The following is a 22,680-nucleotide window of genomic DNA, read 5'->3' as shown; positions in this document are numbered from 1 at the left end:
TCTGATTCCCCAGGATCCCACCAGGTGCCTGGTTAACTTGTCTCAAATAAATGTATGGAATGAAGGTGTTAAACATAGATAATGCAAAATATACAGTTACGTGAAGAGGAAATCTGATGAAGGAAAAGATGTTCAATCTCACTAGTAATCAGAAGAGTGCAAATGTGAGATAATTTTTCAACTACCAAATGAACAAAGGTGAAAAAGAATGAAAATACCAAAGTCTGGGAGACTTTAGGGAAATGTAAGATCTCATTGGTGGCAGTGGGCACTGACATAAGCTTTCTGGAAAACAGTTTGGTAATGCTTGTTATAAATGTAAAAATGTGCAGACACAGTAATTCCACTTCTGAGAGTTTATCCTAAAGAAATTGTGGAGCAGGAACCAAGGATGTTCCAACCAGCCTTAATTAATAATAAAGAATAATTAGAAATAATCTGAATGTCTACCAGTTGAGAACTGTTCCTATCAATTATGGTACATTCAGACAGTGGAATACTAGAAGGACTTCAGAATGATGTTAATACTAATAGAGATGAAAGGATGTCCATTAGATACTATACCCTTAAGGTCCTTGTGGTGCCATTAATGTACAGTTAATGCAAACACAGGCATATGTGCATGCATGCACGAGGAGATCTAGAATGGCAGTTACCAAAATATCAACCATCAAGACATCAGCATGATGCCTCCTGGTTGGAGGAGCTTTGAATGACTTTGCTTTCTTCTTTTTTTATTGTTCCTAAAATTACAAAAGTAATATTCTTTATTTTTAACTTAATAGCTAACATTAACAGAGTGTATCTTGTGTGCTAGGCACTGCTCTAATTGCTGTACATTATTATTATTACTGAAGAAATCAAAGGTGATGAGAGATTAAGTAACTTACTCGAGATTTTCAGCTAGTAAATGATGGAGCTGTTATTCAAAACCTAATAGTGTTGCTTCATAGACTGTGCTCTTTTTTAAAAAAAAAAAAAATGTAGACGGACTCTCACTCTGTTACCCAGGCTGGAGTGCAGTGGTGCCATCTCGGCTCACTGCAACCTCTGCCTTCCAGGCTCAAGTGATCCTCCCAAGAAGCTGGGACCACAGCTGTGTGCCACCATGCCCAGCTAATTTTTTGGGTTTTTTGGTAGAGTCAGGGTTTCACCATGTTGCCCAGGCTGGTCTCAAACTCCTGAGCACAGGCGATCCACCCACCTGGGCCTCCCAAAGTGCTGGAATCACAGGCGTGAGCCACCTCACCCAGCCTAACCAGACTGCACTCTTGCTACACTAATTCGCCCCAATAAAGTGAAAGTCTTAAATCCCGCCCCAACAACAATCCTACTCCTCTGCTCAAAGTAATCATTGTTAACCATTTGACATGGATCCCTCCAAAACTTTTGCTTTCTCCAGACACATGTGTGCACACACACAAGTGTGTTTTTCTTTTTTATAAAATGGGATGGTAGTGTCCGTCCTGTCAGTATGTGAGTTCACCCACATATTTTTTATTTATTTCTGGGGGATATTCCACAACATGGACATACAGAATTGATGTAATCATGCTTCTACTGAAAACCTGGTGGTTTCCAGTTCTTTGGCCTAACAGACAAAGCTTCATCGAGCGTCCTTGTATACATATTACAGGGTGTGGCAGTGTAATTATATTCCTGTGATCGTTTCCTAGAAATCGAACCACTGGGTCAAAAGGCATGCACACTGAATGTTGAAACAGGCTGCCCACACCAGGAAGGCTGTGTCATTACACCTGCAGCAGATGAGAGGCCACCTCCCCATGTTTTCACTGACACAGGAAGTTGTCAATCTTTTTAACTTTTGCCAGTATTAAAAAATGAAGAATGTTATTTCATTTGTAGTAATTTAAAAGTCCATGATTACTGGTAAGGTTGAGCATCTTTTCATATGTTTATTGGCCATCTTCATTTCTTCTCAGGATTGTTTACTTTCTATTGGATAATTTGAGTTAATTGGTTAATTTCTTATTAATTCAAAGGAGCATTGTTATAAATATTAGTATTTTGATGCTTTCTTTGTTGCAGATATTTTTCTCAGTACATTACTTTTCTTTGAACTTGATTTATATGTTATTTTACTATATAGAAGTTTTCATTTATTTTAGTTTTGTGCAATCAAATCTGTCCATTTTTTTCCTTTATGGTTTTATACCTTGTTTAGGAAGTCTTTCTCCACAATATTCTCCAAGAATATAAGAATACTCTCCTATATTCTCTTCTAGTATATTTGCATTTTTGCTTATAGATTTATTTTTATCTTTAGACTTTAATCTATGAAGAATTTAGTATTGTGTTTGGTGAAAAGTAGGGATTTAACTTTCTATTTTTAGGTTGGTTGTCTTTTAAACAACTCCTTCATCAAAATCCTAATTCCGTGACTGGGCGTGGTGGCTCACGACTGTGATTCTAGAACTTTGGGAGGCCAAGGTGGGCTGATCACTTAAGCCCAGGAGTTCGAGACCAGCCTGGGCAACATGATGAAACCCCATCTCTACAAAAAATACAAAAATTAGCCAAGCGTGATGGTGCATGCATGTAGTCCCAGCTACTTGGGAGGCTGAGTTGGGAAGATCACCTGAGCACAGGTGGTCGAGGCTGCAGTGAGCCAAAATCATGCCACTGCACTCCAGCCTGGGGGAGACTCTGTCTCAAAAAAACCAACAAAAAACCTGAATTCCCATGGATATACAGGTCTGTTTCTGGACTCTTGTGCCACTGATCCCTTGTCTATATCTGGCCTGGAATCACACCGCTTTAATTACTGAAGCTTCTCCGCAAGTTTCTATATGTGCTAAGGCATGCCCCATCCCCATTTCTCTTCATTTTTGAACTTTCCTCACCATTCTCCTACATTTACCTTTTTTAGAGGAACTTTAGAATTAGATAGTCATGGTCCAAAAGTCCTCCCTTGGGATTTCAGTTGCAATAGATTGGAGCTACCCATGCATTTGTGGTTGACATCTTACAAAGGGGAGCTAGGTGTCTCCGGCCAGGACTCCTTGCTCCCCTGGCACTATCTGAGGCCTTTCTACTTGAACACCCAGCCCATGATTCCAAGTCTTCTAGAAAGGACAGATCCCTACACATCCTTGGTTTAATTTCTTTCCTTCCCTGGATGGCATGTGAATTTTTACCTGAACTTTCAGAGGCAAAAAGAGTGAAAAGCATGGAAACCTCAGACCTTGCAGGGGAACTCAGGGAGAAATACTTTTCGTCAGGGAACATTTTTCCTGCTCCCAGCAAACCACACTGAACACTCATGTGTGAACAGCCTGAGATAATCAGGTTCCAGTTGAGGCTTTTTAAAAAAACAGCTTTATTGTTCTAGAATAACTTAAAATTCTCTAATTGTAAGTGTACTGGTAAATGATTTTTAGAAAATGTATGGAATTGTGCAACTGTCACCATAATCCAATTTTAGAACATTTCCATCACTCCCAGAAGATCCCTCATGCCCCTGTATACTTCTCTGGATGCCACTTTCCTTCACATGACAGTATCAGGAGGAGTGGGGGACAAATGAGGGGATCCCCAAGAGATCCTCTGCCTGTGAGTCTGGGACCAACACCACAACCACATACATAGCATGAACCCACATGACACCCCTCTTTTGGGGAGACCCAGGTGAGGCCTCCTCCTGAGGGCCCTGGCCACACTGAGCCCCATCCTTACCCTTCCAGGTGGATAAAGTTTGAAGAAAAGGTAGAGGAAGGCGGCGAACGCTGGAGCAAGCCCCACGTGTCCACACTATCCCTGCACAGCCTCTTCGAGCTCCGTACCTGCCTGCAGACGGGGACGGTGCTGCTGGATTTGGACAGTGGCTCCTTACCACAGATCATAGGTGAGGCAGGGGCCACTGTGTGCATCTCTCCTGTGGTCCCTGCAAACCAGGGCAGCTCCCCTGACCTCATGCCTGCCCTCAAGTCTGTGTGACGGCCCGTCTCTGACACCTGATTCTGCAGAGACCAGCTTTGACTCTGTTGCTCCCAGGGCAGGATCATAGTCACTCCAAGTTTCAGTACCATGTAGACCTCCAGTAGAGAGGAAAAGACCATCCTCCAAAATGCCATCCAGAAATGTGGTAAAAGGGGAGAGGGCCTCTTGCATAGTCAGAGATACCTCTTGCCATGACAACCTGTTTCTTTTCAGGGTAAAATGGGTCATCATTCATCTTTAGGAAATTAGCTGTCATTTAGTGGTGTGTCGAAGGGAGGAGTTGGCTTGCCTTAACACCCCTAAAAATTTTTGTGAGTTTTGTTCTAGCACATTGGATTTTGCCAGAAGTATTTTGCCCAAAATACTTTTCTAAAAAGAGTTCATTTTAGGACTAAAACCATTGAACACAGTACTTTTGTGCCTCCTGGGGCAGTTTCATATGTACTGTTTATTTCACTTTTCATAAGAACATTGACAGAAAGAGCAGACACACACACACACACACACACACACACACACGTGCCCTTGAACAGGAGGAGGCCAAGAGTTGGTGATGTGCCCAGTTTTCCACAGCTAGTGGCAAAGCCAGGAGTACTTCCACACCCCCTCTGCCACATTTAATCCCACTAATAACAGGTGAAACTGAAGACTTCCATACCCTGGAGCTGTTCTGTCCCACAGGGATGAGGTGTGTATGTTTTCCACACAGATGATGTCATTGAGAAGCAGATTGAGGATGGTCTCCTGCGGCCAGAGCTCCGGGAGAGGGTCAGTTACGTCCTCCTGAGGAGGCACCGCCACCAAACCAAGAAGCCCATCCACCGCTCCTTAGCTGACATTGGGAAGTCAGTCTCCACCACAAGTGAGTCAGGCCTTACGCTGGTAGGCATGGGACATGCAGGGCCAGTATCAGGCCCTGGTACCCGGGTGAGCCCACCTTAGGGGCTGGGAGTTTCTGGAGAAATTCTGATGTTCTGGGGATCCCTCAGCCTCCTTCTCTGGCAGGCCTGTGGGGACCCCAGCCACACTCCCGTGTTGTTCCCACCACCAGAGCAGAACAATTTCTAGGGAGAGAGTTGGTTCCCAGCCAGGGCTGCATGTGGCAGATCACTTTGGGGCTTGAGATGTGTCCTAATGCCTGGGCCCCACCTTGGAGAGTTGGAGTCAATTGTTCTGGGGTATGGCCTAGAAAAAGAGAAGTTAGAATGCACCCCAAGAGATTCTTATGTCACACAGCATTGGGAAATGCTGGTAGAGATGGCTTGCTATGGAAAGGACCCAAAAGTTTCACATCAAACCCCCTAGAGAGGTCAAGAGCCTCAGCAGAAAATGGAACACATCAGGGTGGTAGAAGGGGCTGGGCTTATCTCAAGAGTGCCAGGGCTTGTAGATCTGGTGGCTGATGTCACTCTGATTAGCAGGACCTGGGGCCATTTAGAGAGAGTGGCTTGTTGCATGTACACATCTCAAATCTCCAACATTCCACTATCAGTATCCCAGCCTAGATGCCCAGGGACACTAGCCCTACTGAGCCTGTCAGACAAACACAGTAACCAGAGCAAAGTTGCTACATTAAAAACATTGAGGAACCTCTTTAAATGAATTACTTAAAAATGGGAAGTGGGCCGGACATGGTGGCCCACACCTGTAATCCCAGCACTTTGAGAGTCCAAGGTGGGTGGATTGCTTGAGCTCAGGAGTTTGCGACCAGCCTGGGTGACATGGCATAAACCCCATCTCTACAAGAAATACATAAACCTCATGGCTTAAACCCCATGGCATAAACCCCGCCTTACAAAAAATTAGCCAAGTGTGGTGGCACACACCTGTAGTCCCAGCTAATCAGGAGGCTGAGATGGGAGGATCGCTTGAACCCAGGAGACGGAGGTTGCAGTGAGCAGAGATCGTGCCATTGCACTCCAGCCTGGGCAACAGAGCAAGTCCTTGTCTCAAAAAATCGCTCCCAAAACAACGGGAAGTGTTTAACATACCATAATAGCAACAGATACATACTCAGCACTTAACTACATTCTGGGCACTATTCTGAGTGCTCTTCCTGTTTTAACTCACTTCATCCTCACAAAAATGCTGTGGCGTGTAGGTACGGTTCTTGTCTCCATTTTACAGATGAGACGCCTGAGGCACAGAGAGTTTAAGTAACTTGCCTAAGGTCACAAAGCCATTAAGTGGTGGAATCAGGGATGAACCCAAGCAGTCTACTACACCTTGTGCCCATTTAATGCACTGTGTATCTCTCTCACTTTCAACAGTACAGATATTCTCTCTAATCTTGTTCTTTTTTTTTTTTTTGAGACGGAGTCTCACTCTGTCACCCAGGCTGGAGTGCAATGGCGCGATCTCAGCTCACTGCAAACTCTGCCTCCTGGATTCAAGTGATTCTCCTGCCTCAGCCTCCCAAGTAGCTGGGATTACAGGTGCCCACCACCATGCCTGGCTATTTTTTGTATTTTAGTAGATACAGGGTTTCACCATGTTGGCCAGGCTGGTCTCAAACTCCTGACCTCAGGTCATCCACCCACCTCAGCCTCCCAAAGTGCTGGGATTACAGGCGTGAGCCATCGTGCCCAGCCTGTAATCTTGTTCAGACTATTGACTTGCTTAAATTAAAAAAAAAAAAAAAAAAAGAATTTCTTCCCAGAAGGGGAAGAGACATGTCTTGCCACCCAGTTTTATTTAGTTAAAGTGAACTAACCCAAGAGGCTTCGCTACACCAGCAAGGCTGTCGAAGCCAAGTCCCTTCTGATTCTCCTCCCAGATCGCAGTCCTGCCCGGAGCCCTGGTGCTGGCCCGAGTCTACACCACTCCACGGAAGACCTGCGGATGCGGCAGAGTGCAAATTACGGACGTCTGTGTGAGTGTGTGCTCTGCCGCTCTGTGGCAGCTTTATTCAGGCTGTGGCAGCTGTGACATGGCCACATTGCCATAGGTGGGGGAGACAAAGCCCAGGATCTGCCAAGAATTCTCAGGGCATGCATCAGGAGGAGCCTAACTTTCACTCTAAACCCAGGCTGCTCTCAGGGCCTCATTTACTACCATAATATTCAAGTCATTCCTCTGAAAAATGAGGCTGTCAGTCACATCCTGGTGTAATCAATACCCACTCCCATATTCTAGGTGTTTTTATCTTAGTCTGTACCTTCATCTTCATCAAACTGACATTAACCCTGTTTTTTGGTGAAAAGCTTTCCTGGAAATGGAATCAAAAACAGGCAAGGTCCTTTCCTTCAGTTCAGTCAGGCAGCATTCCCATCACTGGGTGGCAGTCTCATGCCACCATGGAGAAGAAATGTGGGCAGAGTCACGGCCCCTTTTTTCTGGGAATGGCTGGTAGGGGGCGGGGTGTGGGTTTGAGGTGAGAGGTGACAGACAGGTTTTACATGCACCTCGTCAGGGATACACAGACAGGCGAGCTGGGGAAAAGAAAGGAGCGAACTTAGAAAGTGAAGTGAAAAAGAAAAAGCAGTGAAGGACTATTTTCCTTCAGGTACTTTTACTAAAATGCCAAGATGTTAACAAGTTCAGCCCAGTGCTGTACCCCTGTCCAGGCCCAAGGAGTGACTTGGGGGCAATGCAGCCCCTGCCTGTGGCCTTGGGCACAGCAGGCATTTGCTGCAGTCTTCTCTCTCTGTCCTGATGACCCAAGTCCTCTTAGTCTCCCCAGCTTTGTTATGCCACATAGGGATGCCCAGTGGCAGTGTTCAGTGGGTACAGAGTGGCTTCGGGAAGACCTTCCACTCAGTTATCATTGTATATGAGGTCACCTCCCTACTGACACTGCTTAGGGGTGGGAACCACTGGGACAAGAGGCACGAATGGATGATTGCAGCTTTGTGTGAACCAGGTCATATTCAAGGTGGGCACCCGCCATGAGGTGGCCCAGCATGCAGAACACAGCGCACAGGGGAAGGATCAGAGAGGAGGAGACACTGACTGAGTCTTGGAGCATAAATAGAAGTTTTCCAGGAGCAAGGAGGAGGAAGAGGGGGTTCTAAACAAACAAAACAAATAGGAGGTTGGGGGATGGAAGAGAAGGAGCTGGAGCTATGAAAATAAAAACATTAGTCCAGTTCACAGGAAGTGCAGGAGTTAAAGGGAAGAGAGAGTCAAATCAAAGAGGGCCTTGTGCACCCAGCAAAAGAACCCGGGTTTTATTCTGAAGATAATGGGAACCCCTGGGAAGCTTGAAGCAGGAGCATGCTGTGATCGGATTTCTGTCTGAGTAGGAATAATCTAGAAGGGGCAACATTGGAAGGCAGAGACTGAGCCTGCATTCCAGAATGGAGAGGAAGGGACAGAGGTGGAATTGAAGTACTGGTGGGAAGTAGGAGGTGAGGAAGAGGGAGGGCCCAAGGCTGCTCCTAGATTTCTGTCTAAAGGGCTGGTGGATGGGAGGGAGGGGCATTGAGTGGAATGTGTCCATGAGGAAAGTGATTTGGGGGCAGGTAAAGAGTTGCATTTGAGGTGCCAGAGGGGACTGCTCCAAGGAGTCTGCAGCTCAGAAGAGGAGTCAGACTAAAGATCCATCCTGGGCATCCTCAGCCCAAATGGGTGTTGGAAACAACAGGAGTGGGAGCGATTGACCAGCGGAGAGGCTGAGGCACCTGGAGGGGATGAGAGCAAAGACAAGGCCCTGGGATGTCCAAGCAGGAGAGGATCCTGGGACAGAAATGAGAGGAGGAGAGCCAAGAGGAGCAGCATTCTGGACACCAGGAGTGGCACAGGCCAATAGCCGAGACACGATAGGTCTGAGGGTGTCCACCAGATTGGGCTAGTGGGAGAGGAGAGCTGGCTTTCTCTCTCTTAACAGAGGAAGGAACTATTGGGCAGTTCAAATAATTGGCTATCACTGTTCTCATGGGAAGCCCACCTTCCTTCCCTCTGCCAGCCTAAATCCCCAGCCCATGTTTGAAGACTCTCACCGGTCATGGAGGACAGAGGTGAAACTGCTCCCCCTCCAGCAAATTCCAAGCTAAGTGACACATGGAACCTCACCTAATAATGCGTCTGTGTCCCTCCTCCTATCCGGGCCTGGTGCAGAGCCACACCCAGAGTAGACAGCCTGGTGACATCCAAGACGTTGGGGTGGAGGAGTAGAGACTAGAGTGTGGTAGATTGAGGAGGGAGAAGGAAACAGTGGAAACTGGAGTCTAACACCTCTTTCAGGAAAGCAGCCATTGAACAGAAGGAAAGTGAGAGGATGCTAGTTTAAGGGGACTGCAGGATTAAGGGGGAGGGAGTTTGCTTTGGTTATGAACATGGGAGAGGTACATGAGTAGGGCCCATAGGAAAGGGACCTGCAAGAGCCTGGCTTCCCCTGATGGATCTTCTTTTCCTTTTCTCCTAGGTCATGCCCAGAGCAGAAGCATGAATGACATTTCTCTCACCCCAAACACAGACCAGGTAGTAAAACCCCTGCACTTAGCTGCAATGGAGGGCCAGGGCAGGAAAAAGTCTTTGGTTTCAGGAGCAGGGATCCCCTATGGGCAGAGTTCCACTCCTACAAAGGAGTGGGAGTTCCAGGAAGATCCCCAGTGGGGACTCTGGGCTGCCTGGGGGACTTTGCCAAGGCCAGTAGTCGGGGAATGACGGAGTCCCAGGTGCTGGCTCTGTGTCAGGCCCTGGGGGTGTGGGACAGAGAACATGATTAAATGAGGCGCCAGCTGTCCTTGAGCTTGGGATTTGTTGGAGAGAGAAGACCAGCACACATGGCTTCATCTATCCTGTGATCCACAAGCACCTTTAAAGATGGGATAGGGACTGGGGCTGGCAGAGAGACAGAAAAGAATCTCCCTGTGGCGAGAACAGTGGTAGTTAATTAGACTGTCCAATAGTGCATCTTCTTCCTGTGGTCTCCCATGAACTGGGCTGAAACCCTCGTGATGAGATCAGAATTCTGCAAACAAATTGGGTCCAGTTCTAAGGCCCACAGCCCCAGAATCCTGTGACTGTGCCCCTTGGGGAAGCCCAGAGGAGGCCCCCTTAATTCCAACTCCTGCATACCTCAAGGACAGGAGGCCCCATGGTCCCCTTGTCTATCTCCCCAGGAGTAGGAAGAAAGATGACAAAGGAAACCTGAGACTTGGCGAGGAGCCTTCAGGAGCTTGGGTGACCTCCAGGCCTTCCAGCCACCCCTAAGTTTGGTGGAAGGCAAAAACAAAGTCAGCCCCTCATGTCAGTGTCCCGGGCACAAATAAATTAATAACAACAGTAACAAAATCAATCAATATTTAAGCTCCACACCACATGCACTACACTGTGCCAGGCATTTTCTGTGAATCACAAAGGCACTATTTTCATTCCCATTTTACTCATGAGAGAACACTGAGGCTTACAGCAGTTAAATAACACACCAAAGTCTATACAGCTGAAAGACAGAACTTTGATTTGACCTAGGCAGTCTAACTCCAGAGCCCTTAACTTGGAAGTAATTTAGGAACTAGTCAGTATTCTGGAACATTATTTGGAGAGGAAAACCACTTTTACTCATGCATACAGACAGTGCAACTGTGATAAGAAAGCATTACCTAGTAAAAGTTTTTTATAACCTGTTTTAATGAATGTGTGAGTGGTAATAATAACACTAGCTGTCCCTTTCACCAGACAGTGCTTTCTTGATTTGGGGATTGGAACCCATCACCTAGCGCCAGCATCTGGTTCTCCTTGCTGATACTTGATGCTGCTTCTCGGTATTTGCAGCATCAGTGGTCTCTGCTATTGGGTGCTCTTCAGGTGCAAGCCCAGAGGCATTTGCTCTGCAGGCTCTTTCTTCATCATTGATTTGTGCAAAGCTAAACTCCATGCCTGCCCTCAGCTGGCAGATTCCCAGTGAACAGAGAGTAGATTCAGACAGCATCGTTGTGCTGCAGTGACTCTGCAGTGCAGAGCCAGATTGGAGTCCCCAAGGGTTCAGGAAGTGGAGTCAGCAGGGCCCTGGTTATACAAGCCCACATCCAGGCTTTGGGCAAGCCAGGGTTGGTTGGAACACTAGCATGCTCCCATTTCTGGGATGCCACAACCCTGGCCTTCTTACCAAACATGTCACAACGTGTAAGGAAGGACCAACTCCCTGGTTAAATTTCTCTTATCTTCTGTATTACAAGTGGGTTGGTTGGATGGCCAGGTGTGGTGGCACACACCTGTAATTCCAGCAGTTTGGGAGGCTGAGGCTGATGGATTGAGGCCAGGAGTTTGAGACCAGCCTGGCCAACATGGAGAAACCCTATCTCGATCAAAAATACAAAAATTAGCCGGGCGTGGTGGCACATGCCTGTAGTCCCAGGCATGTGCCAGACAGGCACGAGAACTGCTTGAACCCAGGAGGAGGAGGTTGCAGTGAGCCAAGATGGTGCCACTGCACTCCAGCCTTTACGACAGAGTGAGACTCTTGTCTCAAAACAAATCAAAACAACAACAAAAACAAGTGGGTTTGTTGGGACACCCTGAAGCATTGCTGCTTCCGAAGCCTCTTTCTCCAGGGTGCTCCTGCCCAGCCCGTATCTCCTCCCCTTCCCTGGACCCCCTCCCTGCCTGATGCTCGGAGACGGTGGCTGCCCTGTTACACCCAGCCCTCCACCCTGAAGAACGCTGCTTAGTAATCAGCTGACCATGCCTGAGACAAAGGGACTTTTTGAGTCTTGGGGACTCCGGTGTTCCTGTCAATTCCTGCTTTTTCTCACTATGTTAGGATCCTTGGGGCTGCTGATGGTTGCCCAGGTGGTTGTGGAGGGTTATTTTTTTTTTGTCTGATTGGATTTAAACGATTATAAGGGTAGTGCCATTGCTCACGAGCCCCTCCTCGTGCTGGTAGGCCACCCAGCCCAGTGTGTATGATGCCCCCACATGAGTCGAATTGGGAAACAGCTGTGGGGACAAAATGGCAGGACCTGTTGACCATATCCATGCCCATAGCTGACCCCTCCACAGGGACAGGAAGAGGCACAAGGAAGCTGTGTCTTCACTGAGGCTGTGAGAAACAGGCCTGTGCCCGCGGGAAAGACTGCAGTAGAAGGGGGATTGGTAGGAAAATTGTGATGTTCACAGGCGCTCTCTTCAGAGCTGTCCTCTACCCCCAGGCGCTTTCCCACTGTGTCAGCGACTGTGGACTGCACCCAGTCCTGCCGCTACCCCAACTGCTCCCCTCCATCTTCCGACAAAATTATCTCTGTCTCTTGTCTGTCCATGCCCTTGCTGCCCAGAGGGAAAGCAATCTGAAAAAGGAATTCATTCTAAGACGTTAAGGACTAAGAAGAGCTTGAAAGTAACCATCCCTGGGGTATCTTCAGCATAAAAGAGGACTCAGGAAGTTATAAACGCAGAGAGTGGGAATACATTTGGGTGGAGGGCTTGTCTCCAGTACCTCTCACATCAGACCCCACTGGCTCTGCCTGTGTGACCTTCCTCCCATGAAGTGACACTAGCCAGAGAGACTGGAGAGAGGCCACCTTGATAGTCTCTGCTGGAAAATTCCAGAAGTGATGAATTTCCTTGGGAGGTCCCCTGGGGGTAATGTGGGGGCATGGAAGTCTCCCACAGACTTGGAGACTGGTCCAGGAATTCCTGTGAGCCAGGAAGCTGGTGGCAAAGGGAAAATAAGGCCTGTTTACTCTGACCATCAGAACAGGCCTCCTCCTCCCCACAGCTACCAAAAGTGAAGGTGGAGAGGGGAGGTCTGGGTGGCTGAGGTAGAAGCACTGAGACTCCCATCTGCTCAGCCTGAAGGAGGCCATCCAGGCCTGATGTCCGGCAACCCCGGGGCTCTTCTCTGACCCCTCAACCCACATCTCAGTGGAGCCGTTTTCATCCGTCAAGGAATGTCTTAGTCAAGGAAAGTCGTTGCCAGTTCCTTCCCATCTACAAGGCTTAATGGTGCCTGGGGTTAACCTACATTCAGTCTCCCCATCTGCAGAATCGGAGGAGTACTTATTTATTCTTTCAGTCTCTTGGCAACATTGGGAGAATTTTTTTCAAGTTAGGCCTCAAAGCAGTCTGAAGGGGAGTGAGGGAGTGAGAGCAGGTGGGAGTCTCCTTGGCTATCTCGTTTCCCCTCCCTGTCCAGCGGAAAAACAAATTCATGAAGAAGATCCCCAAGGACTCAGAAGCGTCCAACGTGCTCGTGGGCGAGGTGGACTTCCTAGACCAGCCATTCATCGCGTTCGTGCGCCTCATCCAGTCGGCCATGCTGGGAGGAGTGACCGAGGTGCCTGTCCCCACCAGGTGAGAGCCATTGAAACCTGTCCCCACGCCACTCTCAGGTAGCCAGTCAGCAGTGCAGTCAGCAAGCAGTGCTGTTGACTGTTAGTGTTCTCAAAGGCACCTCTAAACGTGGAGGCTGCTGGGAAGGGAAATCTTCTGACTAGGGAAGAGTTTTAGAGTTTATTAAAAATAATAACAAAAGAGGCCAGGTGCGGTGGCTCACGCCTGTAATCCCAGCACTTTGGGATGCCAAGGTGGGCAGATCATGAGGTCAGGAGTTCGAGACCAGCCTGGCCAACAAGGTGAAACCCCGTCTCTACTAAAAATACAAAAAAATTAGCCAGGTGTGGTGGTACGCGCCTGTAATCCCAGCTCCTCGGGAGGCTGAGGCAGGAGAATCACTTGAACCCGGGAGGCAGAGGTTGCAGTGAGCCGAGATCATGCTATTGCACCCCAGCCTGGGCAACAGAGCAAGACTGCGTCTCAGAAAAAAAATAAAAATAATAAATAATAAAAGAGAAGGAGGCAACAACTAGGAGAGAAGTTGTCAGGTAAGCTTGGGCAGCAAGACAAAGGTGAGGATGCTCAAGGGGGAGCCTCATGGGAGGGGAAGAGGAAATGTTCCTCCAAAGCAAACATAGGGTTCCATGGAGGGAAGTAAAAAAGTTAAGAATGGGCCCAGCGCAGTGGCTCATTCCTCTAATCCCAGCACTCTGGGAGGCCAAGGCGGGTGAATTGCTCGAGCCCAGGAGTTGGAGACCAGCCTGGGCAGCATGGTGAAACCCTGTATCTACTGAAAATACAAAAAATTAGCCGGGCTTGGTGGTACACGCCTGTAGTCCCAGCTACTCAGGAGGCTGAGGTGGGAGGATCACTTGAGCCTAGGAGGTGGAGGTTGCAGTGAGCCAAGATTGCGCCACTGCACTCCATGCAGCCTGGGTGATGGAGCAAGACCCTGTCTCAAAAAAAAAAAAAAAATGCATACTGTTCAGGGCCAGAGAATTCTCTTCACTTGCTTCTGTTTTTCCTTCTCACTTTCATGCTCCTCTTCCTTAATCTTCTCTGTCTCCTCCTCCATCTTCTTTGCAGATTTCTGTTTATACTACTGGGACCTTCTGGGAGAGCAAAATCCTACAATGAAATTGGCCGTGCCATTGCAACCCTCATGGTAGATGATGTAAGTGGTAACCAGAAGCTTGTACTCCTGAATTTTACAGCTCCTGCACCAAGCACTGCACCTTCATTCATTAACTTATCCAGCCAGCACATTTGAGCACCTACTGTGTACCAGGCACTACATAGGATGCTAAAGATTATGAGAATCAGGGAATAGTCATTGTCCTTTAGGAGAACCAATCAAGTGTGAGGGACAGATTGATAATTGTAAAACTAACCATGTGCTAGCTGCCCAGGGGGTCAAGGAGGGCTTCACAGATGAGGGGGCTTTAAAGCTAAGGAGGAGCAGGAGGAAGGTAGACCCAGCACCAGGCTGTGAGGCAAGCATTCCAAACAAAGGAAATGGATCAGGCTCAGAGAAGCTGGATGGAGGTGGTTTGATATAGGCTCAGTGTAAGAGCTTCAAGGGCAGGAGGTAATACTGGAGAGGTGAGCCAGAGACTACACAGAGCCTGTAAGCAGAGCTGAGTCACACTCTGTCCCCAGAGTGATGGGGAGCCTAGAGGACTTTAACTCTTTTTCCGTTTGTGCCAAGAATACTCACTGGCGGTGCTTGCGGCTGCAGGCTTTACCCTGAGATAACTTTTCCCCACGAAATGTCTCACTTTTATTATTATTTTTGCATTGCTCTTATATGTTGACTTTGGAAACAAAAGACATCATTCTACTTAAAGCATTCTGTTTTTAGTTGTGGCATTTCCATTTACAAAATACACTAACTCTCAATCATTGAAAATATCAAATCCTAGAAAACTAGCATTCCTACGAGTGATGCTAACATCATTCTCGAACAGTTTTTGGCCTAAGATTCATTTGATGAATCCAGTGTTTCCAAAATAGATGATTCTGATCATTCCAATGATTCCAATGTTAGTTCTTTTTAGAAATAATTCTAAGAATAATTTTTATATTGCATTTTCACATTGAAAATCAGTCAGATTTGCTTCGGCCTCAAAGAGTGTGTTTATGTAAAATTAAATGAGTGCTGGCAGTGAGCTGCACTTTTTTTTTTTGCCTAAATGGGAAAGGGTTAAATGTGAGCATAGTCCCATCGAATCTGTAAGTCAGAAAGCACACTCTGGAGACAGTGTGAAGAACACGGCCTGAGCCTCCAAGGGCGAAGGGCTGGAAGTAAAAAATGGTTATGAAATATCTGAGCTCCTTGGACTGGGCTCTACAAAGGTTTTCTAATATGTATGATGTGTGGAAAACTGAAAACAGAAAGGTTAAGTAACTTAACCGAAGTCCTACAAGCAAGAATATGGAGACCTGGCCTTCAGATCCAAGAGAGGCTGTCTTCCCCCAGTGCCTGCTGTGTCCCATTGTGCCATATTTTACCAATGTACTATAGTCTCATTCCAAAAACTGAGAGTGAGTTGGCAGTGGGAGATGTGGTTCAAAGGGATTCCTTTAAAAACTAGATGTGATATGCTCCCAGGCATTTCAGAAACAGACCCGATCTTTCTTTTCTCCCTCCTCTCTCCTCGCCAGCTCTTCAGTGACGTGGCCTACAAAGCCCGCAATCGGGAAGATCTGATCGCAGGAATTGATGAATTTCTGGATGAGGTCATCGTCCTTCCTCCTGGAGAATGGGACCCAAATATCCGGATTGAGCCCCCCAAGAAGGTGCCCTCTGCTGACAAGAGGTGTGTATGAGAATGGGCAGTAGGGAGAGAAAAAGGAGGCTTCAACTCTGTCGGTATCATTTTATTTCTCTTTAAAATACATCTGAGGCTCAGCATAGTGGCTCATGCCTGTAATCTCAACACTTTGGGATGCTGAGGCAGGTGGATCACTTGAGCCCAGGAGTTTGAAACCAGCCTGGGCAACATAGTGAGATCTTGTCTCTACAAAACAAAAATCAAATTAACTGGGCATGGTGGCATGCACCTATAGTCCCTGCTACTCTGGAGGCTGAGGCAGGAGGATTGATTGAGCCCAGGAGGTCAAGGCTGCAGTGAGCTGTGATCATGCCACTGTACTCCAGCCTGGGCAACAGAGTTTGACCCTGTCTCAAAATAATGTTTAAAATAAGTTTAAAAATAATAAGATATATCAGAAACAAATATGGCTAAATGTGAACATTTGTAAAATCTAGGTGACCTGCGTGTGGATATTGTTAGACAATTTTCTGCATTTTTGTCTGTCTTTTAAGATATTTCATAATTTTGGTTGGAGAGGTGAGGGGTGCTCTGGGGGACCCACTCTCCTTCATCCCCCTTCTCTTCCAGGAAATCTGTGTTCTCCCTAGCAGAGCTGGGCCAGATGAATGGCTCTGTGGGAGGAGGCGGCGGAGCTCCTGGAGGAGGCAATGGAGGTGGTGGTGGTGGTGGCAGTGGCGGCGGGGCTGGCAGTGGCGGGGCCGGCGGAACAAGCAGCGGGGATGATGGAGAGATGCCAGCCATGCATGAAATCGGGGAGGAACTTATCTGGACAGGAAGGTGCCCACCCCAGGCCTCCCAGTGACCCTGCTGTCCTTTAGACTTCTCCCTTCTCAGCTGCCCTCTAGGGACTTTTCCCAACCATGGTCTGTAGTGCCCACTCGAGGTCACCCCTGCCTTCTTTCCCTCCCAGAGCCCTTGAACCCCATCATGGATCCCCAAAAGGTTGCCTCAGGAGAGGGGAATTTGAGACCCATACAAGAGGAGAGGAACCCAAACTTTTCTCTTAGATATCCTTTGGTGCCTGTTTCCTGGGTCTGCTGTAACAAAGTACCACAAACTAGGTGGCTTAAAACCACAGAAGGTTACTCTCCTGCAGTTCTGGAGGCCAGGAGTTCCACAGCAGGTGTTGGCAGGACCACCGTGCTCCCTGAGGCTCCAGGTGGAATCCTTCCTGGCCTCCTCCTGGCTTCTGGTGGTGGCCAGCAGTCCTTGGTGTTCCTGGCTGGCAGCCGCATCACCCCCGGCTCTGCCTCTCCACCACATGGCCTCCTGTGTGTCTGTCTTCACAGAGCACTTTCCTCTTTGTGTATGGACCCCAGTCATGTTGGAATAGGGCCCACCATAATGACTTAATCTAAACTGGATTACATTTGCATAGGTGTTACATAGATGTTAGGACCTTAATATATCTTTTGGGGGGACACAACTCAATAACAGTACCTTTTTTAAAACTTAATTTACCTATTCAAAAACTTTTTTTTTTTTTAAAGAAAATAAGAGAAAGTTCTCCTGGCCTGGGTTTCTTTTCCAGCTCTTGGAGTCATTCAGGTTGATCTAGATTTAGGAAAGGATGTGGCCTTGAAAATCTACATATAAATCATGACTTTGAGAATGAAGTCATGTTTTATATGCCCTTGGCTTTATACCAGTGGTTCTCACTGTAAGCAGCTTTGGCCCTCCTTAGTCCCCCTACCCCCGAGCCCAGGGAATTTGGCAATGTCCAGAGACATTTTTGCTTGTCACAACCGGAGAGGGGAGATGCTACTCGCATCTAGTAGGTAGCTGCTAAACATCCTGCAGTGCATGGGACAGCCCCTGCAGCAAAGGAGTATCCAGTCCAAAATATCAGCAGAACTGAGGTTGAGAAACTCTGCTCCATGCTAAGGACTGCATTAGGGGCTATGGGAATAGCAATCCCAGTAAACAGTGTCTCCAAACCTAAAATCTTCCACTCAGCTGTTCCAGATAGCAAAATCAAAAAACAAACAAATACCAACCAGTTATAAGGTTTAGGATCTGTTCTTAATGAATCTGTTATAATCTGGGATGCTTCTGTCACCGAAAGTTAGACACTCCTGTGTTCACCAAGAGCAGGCACCCTGCAGATGGTCAGGGATGTGAGGAGGACCACCATCTGTGGACCCCAGGACTTCCATTCTCCATGGAATGTTAGGTCTACCCCAGGACATATTCCCATCAGACTTTCCCTCTCCAAAACCCTCTATGTCCACCCTTCCCAATGTGGGTGGTGCCAACCACAAACTCAGTCCTACAGGAATTCATCCCTGGCCCTAAATGTTCTGGTGGAAAGATCTTTGCCCCATCCACCCTGGTCAAGTTCCTTTCCTCGCCCCAGACTCTGCAAGTTCTTGTAAATAGCCCTGCCCCTGCACTGGTGTTAGTGGTGAGAAAGCAGCCCCTGGGCCTGTCTTGAGCAGGTTCTTCGGTGGCCTGTGTCTGGATATCAAGAGGAAGTTGCCCTGGTTCCCAAGTGACTTCTATGATGGCTTCCACATTCAGTCCATCTCTGCCATCCTATTCATCTACCTCGGCTGTATCACCAACGCGATCACCTTTGGTGGGCTTCTGGGGGATGCCACCGACAATTATCAGGTGTGTGCGAGCCGGTGCCCTGAGTGTAAAAGTAAGATCTGCCGCCACCTGGTGGCAGCAGGAAGCTTCATCCTGTAATCCCAAAACCAAGGTTTCATCTACCATCCAGGTTGAGGCCATCACTATTTGTAATCCTTTACGCTTCAAGTAATAATAATATAATAAGACAATATTAAAAGATCTGAAGCTAAATCTCATTACTAAAGACCAAACTTAATGATTATTTAAATAGGTCAAACCGTTAAGGGGAATCATCTGCTGTGTTATTTGGTACTTTTCCCACTGATGCTGGAGTGAATTTAATCAGCACAATTAATGGAGTGCTAATTGTGGCCTTCTCCCCACACTTTTTAAAAACTAACCTTGAATTCTTAGTTTGGAGTTAAGACATTTTTAGAAGGATGGTAAGCTGTTGCCATGACAACAACTCAGGCCTCCCTGGGGAAAACAGCTCAGCAGACACCTGCCAATCTCCTAGGCAAGGGTCTTCTCCAATGGAGGCCTTCAAAGTAGAGCCATTGGAAAGCTCAGTACCCCAAGGAGAAGACCCATTTGTCAAGCTGCCTTTTGGGCATGTCCACATGGCTGCCCCTCAGGATTCCCCATGGCTGCCCCTCAGGATCCCCCAGTTCACACAGCTGACATTGCGTCCCTTATCTTCCCTCCTGACGTGCTGCTCCCTGCCCTTCCCCAGCACAGCAGGTGATACCGTGGTTCACCCAGCTGTCTACACCGGAAACTAAGCATTATCCTTGACTCATAAGTCCCAGCTGCCCCATGTGGCCCTCACCACATGGCCCTACCTGGCTCTCACGCCTCATCTCCCAGCATTCTCTTTCTCAGCATTCCTACCCTCCCCAACCATTCTACATTCTGTTTTCCATCAATCCTGATCATCTTTTGGTTCTTCAAGTACATGCTGTTTTTCAGCTCCAGACCTTTTAGACACTATTCCCTCTTCCTGGGACACTGTTTCTTATCACTCCACTTAACCCTATTCCCCTGGCCAATTCTCTGCTCATTTTTTGGATCTCAGCTTCCACTTATCTACTTCTAGGGAGGCCTTCCTGACTACATCTTTACCTCTACTGCGTGCTCCTGTGGCACCCTAAACCTATCCCAGCACACCTCTTGGCAGTGGCTCTCAACCAGGGACAATTTTCACCCCAGGAGACATTTAACAATATCTAGAGACAGTTTTCATTGTTATAACTGGGAGGAGGGTTCCTACTGGTATCTAATGTGTAGAGGCTGTGGATGCTACTAAACACACTACAATACACAGGACAGACCCTCCACAGCAAAGAATCATCTAGCCCAAAATGTCCATTGTGCCGAGGTTGAGAAACCCTGCTATATGGGAATTGCCTGGTTACTTACCTGTGTCTCCCACTGGAATGAAGATATGTTATCTTGTTCAGTGATGGGTTCTCAATACCTTTCACAATGCCTGGTACACAGCAGACACTCAGCGGACTTTGAATAAATGAATGATCTGACCTCTAAAAGCACCAAACAGATGTTTAGATGAATGAATAATCAGATGGATAAATGGGCTGTCCTCTGGGAGTAGAATGGACACAGAGAAAAGCACATCCACTGTTTTCTAGGCCCTGGGTGCCAGAAGGAAGTCACATGGTACCTTTATCTAGATGGAATTAAACAGAGTGACAATGGCCATGGTGGCAAGTTGTGGAGGGTGTAGGAGATGGAGAACAGGATTTAGGGAGGAAAGGGCCCAGAACGAAGGATAAACACTGTGGCCTGGGCCCGTGGAGAGATCGCTGGGGCTGCAGCCTGTGTGGAGAGACCGCTTCTCCTTCCTATGCTGAACCACACATTCCTTGTGCCCCCAGGGAGTGATGGAGAGCTTCCTGGGCACTGCCATGGCTGGCTCCTTGTTCTGCCTCTTCTCGGGACAGCCTCTCATCATTCTCAGCAGCACGGGGCCCATCCTCATCTTTGAGAAGCTCCTCTTCGACTTCAGCAAGTAGGTGTCCCTTGGTGGCCCCCAGTGCCTGCTCTCGCATTTGGGGCAGTATGCTGGGGCTAGGGCAGGGGAATAGGTCCCAAGGGTAGGTGGTGGTGCGGTGGTGCCAAAGCCATCTTTAACTATGGGAAGGGCTACCAGGTGGCCCCTCCTGACTCCTGCCAGCTACCTGCCTTTAAGACATCTTAGTGCATATTGGCACAGCCCATAGGGACCAGCCACGACAAGAGGAGAAAATTCACACCACTCAGTTTGTGAGCAATGGTGACTTGATAGGCAGTATAGTGTATGAAGTCTTGGGCTGAAGGTCAGAAGGTTACACCCAGACCCAGGCAGCTCCCATCACTACTCCAGGCTCAGTTGCCTCCTCTACAACATGAGGGTTTGGACCAGACCATTTCCAAGGGCTGCTCCAACCCTGTTCTTCCAAAATTCCCTGTTTTTCACTCACTCTGGTGTCTGTTACCAACTGTGAGCACTGAGATGTCTTGGCACCTTCCTGCCTCCTCCATAAGATCTTTAAAAAAAATTTTTTTTTGGCCGGGCGTGGTGGCTCACACCTGCAATCCCAGCACTTTGGGAGGCTGGGGCGGGCGGATCACCTGAGGTCAGGAATTTGAGACCAGCCTGGCCAACATGGTAAAACCCCGTCTCTACTAAAAATACAAAAATCAGCCAGGCGTGGCGGCGGGTGCCTGTAATCCCAGCTACTTAGGAGGCTGAGGCAGGAGAATCACTTGAACCAGGGAGGCAGAGGTTGCAGTGAGCCAAGATCACGCCATTGCAGTCCAGACTGGGTGACAGAGAGAGACTCTTTCTCAAAAAAAAAAAAAAGTTCTTATAAAGATGAACACTGGACCCCCATGAAATCTCAAAGATCAGACAACTCTGCCCAAGAATTGTCCCTGTCCCCAGTCTTTCACAGTCCCTGGGAGGGCATCAGTGCCACAGGAGGACAGATAAGCCACTTAAGGATGAGTCTGAGGAGTCAAGCACAGCCAGGAGCCCTGGGCTGGAGGCCCCTCACCTCCCCTCTGCCTTCCAGAGGCAATGGCCTGGACTACATGGAGTTCCGCCTCTGGATTGGCCTACACTCAGCTGTCCAGTGCCTTATCCTAGTGGCCACAGATGCCAGCTTTATCATCAAATATATCACCCGCTTCACCGAGGAGGGCTTCTCCACCCTTATCAGCTTCATCTTCATCTACGATGCCATCAAGAAGATGATCGGTGCCTTCAAGTACTACCCTATCAATATGGACTTCAAGCCAAACTTCATCACTACCTACAAGTGCGAGTGTGTCGCCCCTGACACAGGTGACCGGTAACCCCAGACATGCCGTGGGCCCTCACCTACCCCACCGGCCCCCTGATCCTTCACCACAGCTCTCTACTTCTACTGCTGGGGAGGGGCCATTCAGCCAAGGGCTTACAGTTCCAAGAGAGCAAATACAGGGTCTTGAACCCAGTGTTTGGAAGGAAACCAAGGGGACAGTAGCTCTAATAAGAGTCACAGGGTTGTCATCAGGAGGGCACAGGGATATCCTAGGAAGGAGTAAGGCATGCTTTGCCTCAGTGTGGGGTAATGTGGAGGCCACACCTATCAGGAGTGCCACTCAGGGGTTCCTGCTGCAGGCCAGAGATAGAACTGATGGTGCCTGAAGTCCCGCCCAGCTCCATCAAGTCATGATACGATGAGCTCTCCCCAAGACAGAGCTGCCCGTGTGGCCACATACCGTGTAAGGTGAGACCACACCTGAGGGATGGACATCCACACAGATGGAAACATGTCCAGAGTGGAGGCTCTGTCATCCATGCCATCTGAGAACAGTTGGAGAACCGGGGCTTATTCAGCCTCTTATGAATATGAGAGTTATGAGAGAAGGACTGTCATGTCACAAAGGAGCTGTGTTCACCCTCTGAAACCACAGGATGTAGAGCTGAATGAGGAACAGGGAGCAGAAGCTCCAGGAAGCCAGATGCTGGCTGAATTTAGGAAAGAACCTACAATGGTGGGCGTTAACCACCATGGGAGTTCTCGGCCCCCTTGGTTGGTAGCAAGTT

At 48.1% G+C, this 22,680-nt stretch overlaps 1 protein-coding gene across 3 annotated transcripts in view, besides 3 other annotated features; it reads left to right on the top strand.

Annotated features, from left to right (window-relative positions):
• Positions 1-22,680, top strand: part of SLC4A5 (solute carrier family 4 member 5) — a 127,175-nt gene that overhangs the window by 74,448 nt on the left and 30,047 nt on the right. For all 3 annotated transcript variants that reach the window (NM_133478.3, NM_001386136.1, NM_021196.3), the window contains 11 exons: positions 3,705-3,865; positions 4,670-4,822; positions 6,737-6,832; positions 9,326-9,381; positions 13,037-13,194; positions 14,263-14,350; positions 15,841-15,995; positions 16,581-16,790; positions 18,452-18,626; positions 20,483-20,616; positions 21,662-21,933. In NM_133478.3, the coding sequence (NP_597812.1) occupies positions 3,705-3,865; positions 4,670-4,822; positions 6,737-6,832; positions 9,326-9,381; positions 13,037-13,194; positions 14,263-14,350; positions 15,841-15,995; positions 16,581-16,790; positions 18,452-18,626; positions 20,483-20,616; positions 21,662-21,933 (1,658 nt within the window). The remainder of the gene's footprint in view (positions 1-3,704; positions 3,866-4,669; positions 4,823-6,736; positions 6,833-9,325; positions 9,382-13,036; positions 13,195-14,262; positions 14,351-15,840; positions 15,996-16,580; positions 16,791-18,451; positions 18,627-20,482; positions 20,617-21,661; positions 21,934-22,680) is intronic.
• Positions 1,707-1,786: an enhancer, noted in NCBI's record as "active region_16051". NCBI's record gives its function as "activates an Ori minimal core promoter by ATAC-STARR-seq in GM12878 lymphoblastoid cells {active_cell/tissue: GM12878}" and the evidence as "EXISTENCE:reporter gene assay evidence [ECO:0000049][PMID:35858748]".
• Positions 18,388-18,447: an enhancer, noted in NCBI's record as "active region_16050". NCBI's record gives its function as "activates an Ori minimal core promoter by ATAC-STARR-seq in GM12878 lymphoblastoid cells {active_cell/tissue: GM12878}" and the evidence as "EXISTENCE:reporter gene assay evidence [ECO:0000049][PMID:35858748]".
• Positions 18,498-18,667: an enhancer, noted in NCBI's record as "active region_16049". NCBI's record gives its function as "activates an Ori minimal core promoter by ATAC-STARR-seq in GM12878 lymphoblastoid cells {active_cell/tissue: GM12878}" and the evidence as "EXISTENCE:reporter gene assay evidence [ECO:0000049][PMID:35858748]".

Source organism: Homo sapiens, chromosome 2, assembly GCF_000001405.40.
Source record: "Homo sapiens chromosome 2, GRCh38.p14 Primary Assembly".
NCBI classification, from domain to species: Eukaryota; Metazoa; Chordata; class Mammalia; order Primates; family Hominidae; genus Homo; species Homo sapiens.
Note: the sequence above shows the minus strand (reverse complement) of the source record. Positions and strands in the feature narration are given on the sequence as shown.